This window comes from Homo sapiens, chromosome 13 (genome assembly GCF_000001405.40).
Source record: "Homo sapiens chromosome 13, GRCh38.p14 Primary Assembly".
In the NCBI taxonomy this organism is placed as follows: Eukaryota; Metazoa; Chordata; class Mammalia; order Primates; family Hominidae; genus Homo; species Homo sapiens.
The window spans coordinates 37,290,147-37,301,596 of record NC_000013.11 but is presented as its reverse complement, the minus strand read 5'-3'; positions in this window follow the sequence as shown (position 1 = coordinate 37,301,596).

Sequence of the window (11,450 nt, the reverse complement as noted above, 5' to 3'; positions counted from 1 at the left end):
CAAAAACCAATGGCAAAAAGAAACATTTTTAACTAGCCAGAGGGGAAAAAAATAGTTAGTAGCTCCAAAGAATAAGGCTGACTTTCAACAGAAGTAATGGAAGCCAGCCGGGCATGGTGGCTCATGCTTGTAATCTCACCACTTTGGGAGGCCGAGGCAGGCAGATCACCTTAGGTCAGGAGTTTGAGACCAGCCTGGCCAACATGGTGATGCGCCGTCTCTACTAAAAAATGCAAAAATTAGCCGGGCATGGTGGCGGGCTCCTGCAGTCCCAGCTACTTGGGAGGCTGAAGCAGGAGAATAGCTTGAACCTGGGAGGCAGAGGCTGCAGTGAGCCAAGATCGTGCCACTGTACTCCAGCCTGTGTGATAGAGTGAGACTGTCTACAAAAAAAAAAAAAAAAAAAGAATGGAGGCCATGAGATGATAGAAAAATGTGACTGATGTGCAGAAAAGAAACTGCTTAGAGTTCTACATCTGGAGAAAATATTTTTCAAAAAGGAAAATAAAATAAAGATGTCTTTAGACAAACAAACATTGAGGAAAATCTATCTCCAGGAGAACTGCTCCAAAAAAGTATACTAAAGAGATTTCTTCCAGCGAAAGGAAAAATATCCCAGGTGAAAGCATGGAAATTGAGAAACAAATGCACAACAATAGAGAGTAAAAATATACGAGTAAATCTAAATGACTATTTATTATATAAAAATAATATTAACTTATTTGAATTTAAAATGTGTGTCATAAAATCACAAAAAGGATGGAAATACACTGTCCTAACATGATCTAGAAAGTAATAAAAATACTATTTTGGAGTAGATCTAATATGTCAAAAACATATGTATAATCTCTTAGCAACTAGGGTAGAAATTCTGTTATATTTACTATTTTTTCTATTTTAATTGGATTTACTTTCCTAATTTTTTTCTAATTTGTTGAGATGAATATTTAAATCATTAATTTTATTCTTTTTTCCTTTCTAGTATATGCAGTTATAGCTATACATTTGCCTCTTTAGCTGTTTCCCACAAGTTTCAATATGTCCTATTTTCTCTTTTATTATTAACTTATTTTTCTTTTTGAGACAGGGTCTCACTCTGTCATCCAGGCTGGAGTGAAGTGGCGTGATCTCGGCTCACTGCAGCCTTGAACTTCTGAGCTCAAATGATCCTCCCCACTCAGCTTCCTGAATAGATGAGACTACTGGCGTGTGCCACCACGCCTGGCCAAATTTTTTTATTTCTTATACAGATGAGGTCTCACTATGTTGCCCAGACTGGTCTCGAACTCCTGGGCTCAAGTAGTCCTCTGGTCTCATCCTCTCTCTCAGTCCCTTTGTGATTTCCCTCAATATCAAAGAGCCATCTTGCTCAAGAGCACGCCCTTCCTGAGGCAGTTCACATACAATAACTGATCATCCTGGAAGGCAATGAAACTGCCTTTGCAAAAATTATGACTGTAAGAAAAATCTGACATAGGAAAATTATGACAGTGAAACAAATCTGACCTAATCAATTTCATCTTGCTTCTAACCTCCAAGTGGCCCTTACTCATTCCTAGGCATAGGCCAAACTAACTATAGGAAGAATTAAGAGTTTAACTTTTAAACAAAGATAATAACAGCCCCTTCCTAAAACAAATCCCATCTTTGTTTGGGGACCAAAACTGCCTTTGTAAAACCAATAAATTGACCACAAGATTAGAAATTATGGCTCAGGAGTCATCCAGCCAGAGGCCACAAGATTTGTAACCTCCGCAATTGCTCCTGTGGATAACATCACTATGATAAAACCTAAGGTTGGTGTTCAAGACATTCTTAAGACCCTGCATTCTGTTGGACCAGCCGGTGCCACCCGACCAATAAACTGGCTCCACCAGTCCTGTAATCCCACCCAGGAACTGAAGACAGAAGGAAGATCCCACTTTGACCCCCTGTGATTTATCCCTGACCCAATCAATCAGCATTCTCCATTCTGTAGGTTCCCCACCCACCAAATTATCCTTTAAAAGCCCCAATCTCCAAATCTGGGGAAATTGATTTGAATAACAAACTGTGGTCTTCTGTTCAGCTGGCCCTGCATTTATTAAACTCTTTTACTATTGCAGTTCTGCTGTCTCAGTAAATCGGCTCTGAGCAGTGGCTCAGAGTGACTGCAGCAACTCTGATCAGTTGACTGCAGCAACTCTGATAAGACTTATTTGCTTAGAAGTTTCCCTGGGGTTGACCAACGTTTTGTGACCACATTGTGACAGGCATGGAAACCTGGGCTTGAAAACAGCAAGGAATTTAGGATCTCAGACCCCTCAGGATTAGCTATAAAGATAAGCTGAGACTGAAGGAAATCTGGAATAGAGAGTAGGGGTAGGAAGTGGAGGTTGAAGAGACAATGATATGGTTTGGATGTGTGTCCCCTCCAAATCTCATGTTGAAGTGTAATTCCCAGTGCTGGAGATAAGGCTTAGTAGGAGGTGTTTGGGTCATGGTGGTGGATCCCTTGTGAATGTCTTGGTGCTGCCCCTACAGTAACAAGTGAGTTCTCACTCTGATAGTTCATGTGAGATCTGGTTGTTTAAAAAAATGTGACACCTCCCCCATCTCTTTCTCTTGCTTCTGCTCTTGCCATTTGATGCACCTGCTCCCCCTTTGCCTTCCGCCATGATTGTAAGCTTCATGAGGCCTCATCAGAAGCAGATGCCAGTACCACACATCTTGTCTAACCTGCAGAACTGTGAGCAAATTAAACCTCTTTTCTTCATAAGTTACCCACCCTCAGATATTTCTTTACAGCAATGCAAAAATGGACTAACACAGACAATGAATACCAATTCCAGCCCAACACCATCTGCACTGTTGGGGGATACAGTTCTTCCTACTAAACTTCCTCTTCTAAGTTCAGGTCCACCAGAGTCCTGAAGGAGCTACTGCTTGAATTACATGAAGAAGTGGATTTGAGCAGCATAAAAGGTCTTGTGTGATGGATACACCACAGAGGGTAGACTATAGTGGACATAGAGATGCACCACCTAGATTCCACTCCAAAGAAGGTCTTATTGTCCTAGGGGCTGGGAGCTCTGGGAGCTCCTTAAAGATGTCAGCTGCAAAGAGCCACCTCACACGAGTGTGTACTTTTCCAAGGCAGTCCATGCCCAATGACTGATTGCTGCAGGAGCATAAAGGTCTGACCATTTCAGCCCATCAAGGGTCTTCTCTGAAGAGCTATATTTGCTCTAGAGCACCTCATTGGGTTGGCTGAGTCTTTGTCACCTTTACATTGCAGTTTGACTTCTTCATCTTCCCAATCCTGCCTCCTTTTCCTTCCTTCCGCAGGTGTTGACCCCTCATAAATAGCCTGTTCACCAAACCTTTTCTTAGCAGCTTCTGAAGTACTCTACCTATGATGATCATCGAAAAACACTGAATGGCCAAGCATGATGGCTCACGCCTCAGCACTTTGGGAGGCCAAGGCAGGCAGATCACGTGAGGTCAGGAGTTCGAGAACAGCCTGGCCAGCATAGTGAAAACCCATTTCTACTAAAAATACAAAAATTAGCTGGGTGTGGTGGGAGGCACCTGTAATCCCAGCTACTCAGGAGGCAGAGGCAGGAGAATCGCTTGATCCCAGGAGGCAGAGATTTCAGTGAGCTGAGATCGTGCCACTGCACTCCAGCCTGGGAGACAGAGCGAGACCCTGTCTCAAAAAAAAAAAAAAAAACCCCAAATATCCAAGAACAAATCTAACAAAAGATGCATGAGGTCTCAATAAATGCAAAATTATATTAAGAAAAATTAAGGAAGATAAAGTAAATGAAGGGATAATTCATGTTCATGGACTGAAAGTCAATATTGCACAGATTCTTATTCTCCCCAAATTGACCTACAAATGAAATGTAATCCCAACAAATACCTCAGCAAGTTCTATTTGAAAAAAAAATTTCGCTGGGTGCACTGGCTCACACCTGTAATCCTAGCACTTTGGGAGGCCGAGGCGGGTGGATCATGAGGTCAGGAGTTTGAGACCAGCCTGGCCAACATGGTGAAACCCCGTCCCCACTAAAAATACAAAAATTAGCCAGGCATGATATTGTGCATCTGTAATCCCAGCTACTTGGGAGGCTGAAACAGGAGAATTGCTTGAACCCAGGAGGCGGAGGTTGCAATGAGCTGAGATCGCACCATTGCACTCCAGATCTGGGCTACAGAGCAAGACTCCATCTCAGAAAAAAAAAAAAATCATGCTGATTTTAACATTTATATGGAAAGCAAATACCTCCTCCCTCAAATGAAGAAGAACAAATTTGGGGAATCTACTTAATATAGGAAATCATAACTTATAGAACCACAGCCATGAAAAGAATGTGGTAGTGGCAAAAAGATAGCTAAATAGACCAATGGAATAGAATAGAGTGTTCAGAAACACACAGACCGACGCTTGACTTATGACCAGGTGATGCTGAAGAGCAACAGGGGAAGAATGGTCATCTCAACATAAAATTTTGAATCAATTCATTTGTATATGAAAAAAATGAAACTTATCACCTACCTCATCTCATACTCAAAAATCAATTCTACATGGACTGTAGATATAAATATAAAAGATAAAAGAGTAAAGCTTCTAGAAGATAATATAGAGAAGTATATTTGTAACTTTGGTATAGGAAAAGGTCTCTTAAACAGGAAACACACACACACACACACACACACAACTAATCATCTGTTCATCAAAAGACCCCATTATGACATTAGAAAGACACAGAATGGGAGAATCAACAAAGAATTTGATTCTATACCGTCAAAGGACAACTATTAAATCAATAAGAAATAGATAATCCCAATACAAAGCTAGGCAAAAAACTTGACAAATTATTTAAAAGAATTGGTTCATATGCAAATAAATGACCATTAAACGTACGAAAAAGTGTACAACTTCATTAGTCATTAGGAAAAAGCACTTTACAACTATGAATGGTAAAACTGAAACTATCAGCAATACTAACTGTTGGTAAGCATCTAGAGAAACTGGAACTCTCATATATTGCTGATTGGAGCATGTGTTATGATTGCTTTGGAAAACCTTTCAACAATATCTTCTATAGCTAAAATAAACATACCTCATGACCCAGAAATTCTACTTTTACTTTTATAGCTAACAAAAATGCACATATAAATTTTCATCAAAAACTATACACACATGATCACAGATGCCTGAGTTACAATAGTTCAAAACTGAAAACAACCCAGCTATCCATTCACAACAGAACAGACCAACAATTTTGCCATACTCATGCAACAGAACACTATGACAAAAAATAACAAGTTATGGCTACCTACAATAAAATGGATGCATCTCAGAATCTTAACTTTGAACAAAACCAAACCCTGAAAAAGTACAGACTGTATAATTTCATTTATATATACTTCAAAAGTATGCATGGAGATTGTTCAGGAAAAGGAGCATCAGGTAGTGACAATGAGGGGCACAGAAAGAATCCTGGGGTGCTGATATATGTCCCATTTCTTGACATGGGTAGTAGGAATATGAGGGTGTTTAGTCTGTGAACATTTATGGAGCAGTACACATACGATCTGTGTACTTAACTTCTAAAAAATAATAAGTTGCATGCCTAGTACAATACTAGATAAAAGGAAACATTTATCTATTGATTTAATTTGTGGACTTCACTTGTCATACCCACAGTGTATCAAAAGAATGGGAGATCTGGGCACAGGAACAAAATATAAAAACCAGAACATTGTTCTCACACCTGTGGAAAGTCAGACCCGAACGTCTGTGCCAAAATCACTACACCCTTGGCACAGCTATGTGTATGCCCATGTGCCACTTTGTAGAAGAACTCACAATCACTTTGTAGAAGAAAACCCAAACACAAAATTCTGTTTCTAAGATAACATCCTGTACCATACCTTACGCTTTACTTTGGCAACTCAACTGGAATAGTCATTGCCTCTCTTATTTTTAATTGGGGGGCTTCTCAGTGCTACATTTATGAGTTTGTTGTTTTTTTAAGTGGATAAAGCTGACCCACACCACAGCCCTAAATACTTTTACTAGTACAAGTACTATCCACTGCAGACACGTTCTTCACAGAGTAAAAATCTGTCTTCTCGATACTTTTGTCTGGCCAAAAAGACATCCTGCCAGGTTTATAGTGAAAGATCAGAGTTTGCTGACAACAGCGTGAGGAGTATTTCCCATCCAGGGATGAGTGACTTCTGACAGGAGTTGCAGGTTTGGCAAGACATCGCGCAGATCGGGCCAAACCAAACACTGAGTGGAAAACTCCACTCAAACAGTGTACCATGGGCGCAGGCCCCCTGTGGCCAGCCCACGTGTGCAACCTACTCTGATTAGTAGTGAAACAGCAGTCCAACAGTACTGCACATACTGTACAGAGGATGTGCCTCAGCCAGGTGGAGGCAAGGAGACAAGACGGCTGGGACAACATCCCAGGCCTAATCAGAAGAGTACACTCTGAGTTTTTCCAGGAACTCGTAACGCCAGAGATATTTAATCATGGCTTTAAGGAAATATTTTAAGCATAAATGGCTTTTGTGACCCATATGTCTAAATATTTTCCCTTTTAGGCCAGAAGAGAAGGCACCTTGTCTTCACATCTCTACAAAGTGGAGAAAAAATTAAAAGAGAAAACTTAACTCACAAAATGTACCCTACCAGATCCACCATCTATTCTTGCCCTTGTTCTTCAATTGCAAATTCAGTAGTTAGAAACCGAGTTTCTATACACCTTGCATAGTGACAAGTACATGATTCATAGCCAATTATTGAATATTTATTCACACAATCTTTAAGTCTTCTTTGGTTAATTTATTTCAAATGCTACTATGTGGCATTTACTCATTATGTCTAAAACTGGAAAATATGAGCATGCCTGTACGTGGCGAATGCAGAGCTAGATATTCTCCCAAAACAGACGGGAAATCACTTTACATATAGCATATTACAGTAGACTTCACGGAGCACCTGAGCATGCCAAAAGATCCTATAAGTGGAAAGAAAGGTTAATTATTAAAATTCTGTGAACTTCAAAGATTTGGGAAGCTATATAAATACGATTACTCATGTTACACATACTAACATTTCTGTCTTACAATGGCTATTTACATTCAATTTACAAAAAGATACATATTTTCTGACACAAAAAATCTTGTTACTGAAACAACATATTCTTTCCAAATAAATGTATTGAGGTTCTATACAATACATTAAATAAAATAAAATCCTATCTGATCTATGTCTTATCATGCAAAGAATAAGGGAGAGCCGAAAATTATCATAAGCTGTTAATTTTAACAAAAAGGTCAGTTCCGCCTTCTGCTGTGTTTCTTCATGCCTTCCTGGGTCCACATCACTGTGCTTTGCAACTCTATTTTTCATTATTGTCTCAGTAAAAACTCAGAATTATGATTCTTCTCCCAAGTGGCAACCAAGAGTGAAAGACTTCACCCTGGGTGAGTTCCCTTGCCAAAGCAGCTAAGATTTCCTCTGCACCCATTTTCTAACGTCAAAGAGTTTAAGAGGAAAAACAGGTTATTTTCTTCAACCCAGAAAATATTTTGACTGACATTTTTATATCTTTTTCTTTTATAATAATATCCAAAAATGTTTACAGCTATTTATAGTTTACAAAATGCTGCCCCACAACCAGAACACTAAGAATCATATGTTCCGACCACTGTTTTGTAGATGCAGAAATAAAAGCCAGAACCTAATTCTAAGCCCCTGACCCTCAGCACAAAGCATTTTCTGCAACTGCTCCGAAAATGTGCAAGGGATGAGGCCGCTTAGAATTCCCTTCTATTGGGTGAAATGCAAAAAGAAAACACATGATCTAAAAGGAAGAGAGACTAATGGAGCCTCAAAAGATCCTTAGCAATTCTGACTAGGTCTCTGACAGAAAATTTTTAATAAAGGAAGGAGAACTGACATCAAAAGTAATAATTTCAACCTCTAAGGAATTCACTAAAAAATGAGAACAGCTTTAGCATTAGTATGACTGACACTAATGCAAAAGTCCTGACAGGTGCTATAAAAAAAAGAAGAAGAATCTGGGATTAGAACACCACGATTTCAGCCATAACAGGATAGCTGTGGGTGAAAGTTGCTTGTAACCGGTAATTAATATCTCCACCATAGTCAAGTAAAAACAGAGTTTAATAGAATTTGAGTGTAATCGTAAGACTCCCAAAAGACATGACAACTTGAAAAAGGCTTGTGAGGAAAATTACAGTATTATCAGGCAAAGGGAAAACTCACAGTCTGGAAGTTGATTGTAACTGAAAAGAAAATCGTTAACCACCTTCAACTGATCAGGTCTTGTAACTATGCCAGCTGTGTCAGTGGAAGTGACTGGTGGATATCCCGTCCCACTAAATCTGAATGAGACTTCAGCCCACAATTCCACAGCTGTGGGAGTGTGTTAAGCCTTCCCATGATCTCCTTCTGCCTCATCCTCTCCTTCCCCATGGACGGTCTGTCTCAGTGTTTCATGGTGGCAATTGAATTGTGAAAACATACCTTTCACTGATTTCAAAAACTTAAAACAAACATTACCTTATTTAAAAAATTTTACTCACACTGACCTTTATGAGCAATGGAGATTGTATTCAAGATTTCAGAAAAGAAGGATGTGGCATAGCTCAAATTTTAAATTCCATCTTTCAGACACCCTTTTTTCTCAAAATTTCCCTGACAAACATGGGTTTTGGAATTCCTTTCTTTACCCCTTCTCCAGCTTGTACCTCATCTGGTCTCCCAACCTCACATCTTCCTAACTGCTCTTACTTCCCACCGACCTTTCTTCTTATTTTCTTCCCCCTCCATCTTAGGAAATGAAAGTTTTTTTCTTCTCTATGGCTTAACAATTTGGTGACTGTTTTTCATTGTTGAAATGTTCACAAGGTCTCACCATCCAACCCATGAGCTTTCCCAAGCATTTTTCTCCAACAATAGCTCTTAACAATAGTAAAGGGAAAAAGAAATGGGGCAGAGTCAAAAATGACCAAATGACCCTGGCTGGCCATTAATTTCCAAAAAACATACATTTAACAATTAATTTAGATAATGTATGATTTGTGTTATGCATTTAGTATTCATAGTTGTTTTAGAAGCAAATTGCTTGGACATATCTGGATCACAACAATTTGAAGGACCAGCAACCAAAATTCCTCATGCAGAGTCTTGAGCCGTAATTAAGAACACAGCATCCGAAGCATGACAGCTGAGGTGCAAATTCTGACTCTCCAGAATTCTTAGGCAAGTTACTCAACCTCTCTGCAACATGGAATGATAATAATATCATTCCATATATAGCTAAAATGGCCATTAAAAATTAATCCTACCCCAACTCCAGCTACATACAAATAAAGTAATTTTCAAGGAAAATAAAAAACACAAGAGAAAAATCTCATCCTAAAGTATGTTCACATTTTCCAAGAGATTTCAAAATGGCAAGAAGAAGTATTCATTTTCAATTGTTTCCACATTTACATTGAAAATATGTTGGCTATCAAAATTACTAGAAAACAAATACATATATGCAACATGGAATGATAATAATTGTTTCTACCTCGTAGGGTTATCATATGGATAAAATTAGTTAATACATGTGAAGTCCATAGAACATTGCCTGGCCCATAGTAAGGGTTGAATAAATGTTGGCTGATGCTAGAATTAAACTCACCCCAGAAGGCAGTGGTGTCTTTCTGCCTTACTTCTCCTCTTAAGCACTTACTAGTTTTACTATTTATTTGTCAATTATTAATGTGCTACTTTGAAATAACTTATACATCTGTACTATAATAGACTACATCTTACATGCATAGCTGTATTCAATAGCATATATACAACTACCTGTTCTAGACTGTAATCCTCTTACACACATTGAGTCCATTTTAACATCTTTGTATCTACCATAGTGCTCAACACAGTACTTCGCCCAAAATAGGGATCTAATTAATATTTATTAGTTTATGTTATAATAATGACAATTGTGTTTTGATATATTTTTAACCTGGGTTATGGCCTTATCTGAAATCACCTCAAATGATATTTACCAGTTAGTACTTGCCTTTTACTTCCTCTTTCTTTCTGGAGACATTCTAATTTTTATTTCCATGGGCTTTTCACTGTCCCTGCTGAAATTTCAGCCCCCGCCAAAATGAAAGGAAGAAGGCTAAATAGATATTAGATTCATGACGACGCATCTATATCAATGGTAAAGAACACATTTCTGTATTTGTTTTCTAGTAATTTTCATAGCCAACATATTTTCAATGCAAAATGTGGAAACAATTGAAAATGAATTATTGTTGCCATTTTGAAATCTCTTGGAAAATGTAAACACACTTTAGGATGAGATTTTTCTCTTGTGTTTTTTATTTTCCTTGAAAATTACTTTATTTGTATGTAGCCGGAGTTGGGGTAGGATTAATTTTTAATGGCCATTTTAGTGGAAAGTCAAGGATTAAACACTGCTTTCTAAATGCTTATGTCGTGTTACCTCTTCATTGCTCTACCTACATCTCTTATTCTTATCCTCATCTGTACACATAGTCGACCTTAAAATGAGTTCTCAGACTCAGAGATTAATTTCATGAACTAAAGGAAGTCAGCCAAAGTGGAAAAGAGGAGTCAATTTCAGGTCTCTGATTCATTTTGGTCCACAAAGTCTGAGGTTTGAGTTGCCTCCAAACACCTGCACATAACTAGGAGAACAAAAATATGTTTTGTGACTCTCTAACCAACCACCTCTTAATGAAATGAATATTGTCATTTCCACAGGATAATTTTCATGGAAATGCACTTGGCTAAGCAATGGTGAATACATAAAGTCCAATTATTCACATACCATGCCTCTCTATTCATGAAGATAAATATATATCAGATTATGGAGATACCTATACAACCTGTCTTCTATAATAGTAGTAAACACCCAAGGGTGTTTAGAGTAACACTGAAAAGAAGTAAAACAAAAGGTACACAATCTATGGTCTAAGGCAGATTAAGTCAGGGCTCATCACCAGGCCACCATCCATCAACCCTCATTCTGACACCTATATCCAAGATAACCATTTGCAGCAAGTGATATACATAGGAGCTTGTGTTTTGCAAAAAGAATAAGAAAAGGGACTTTGTGACTGGAGTTTTATACTCTGAGAAGAGATAAATGGTAGGGATGCTATCATGTCTGTTCCAAACAGAACTACAGTTCTATGTTTCAGCCCGTATAATTAGTGGGATGAGGTCAAAAATTACTAAACTCTTCTCCATGAAAGATTCTGTAAGACATTGAGCCCAAGAAGAGGTTCTCTGGGCCTTTAATTTTATTTTAAATTGAGGGATAGTATTGGGAAAAGGCCATCCATGAAACCCTACAACATTTTGGCAACTCAAGGGCTATAGCTTGATGCAA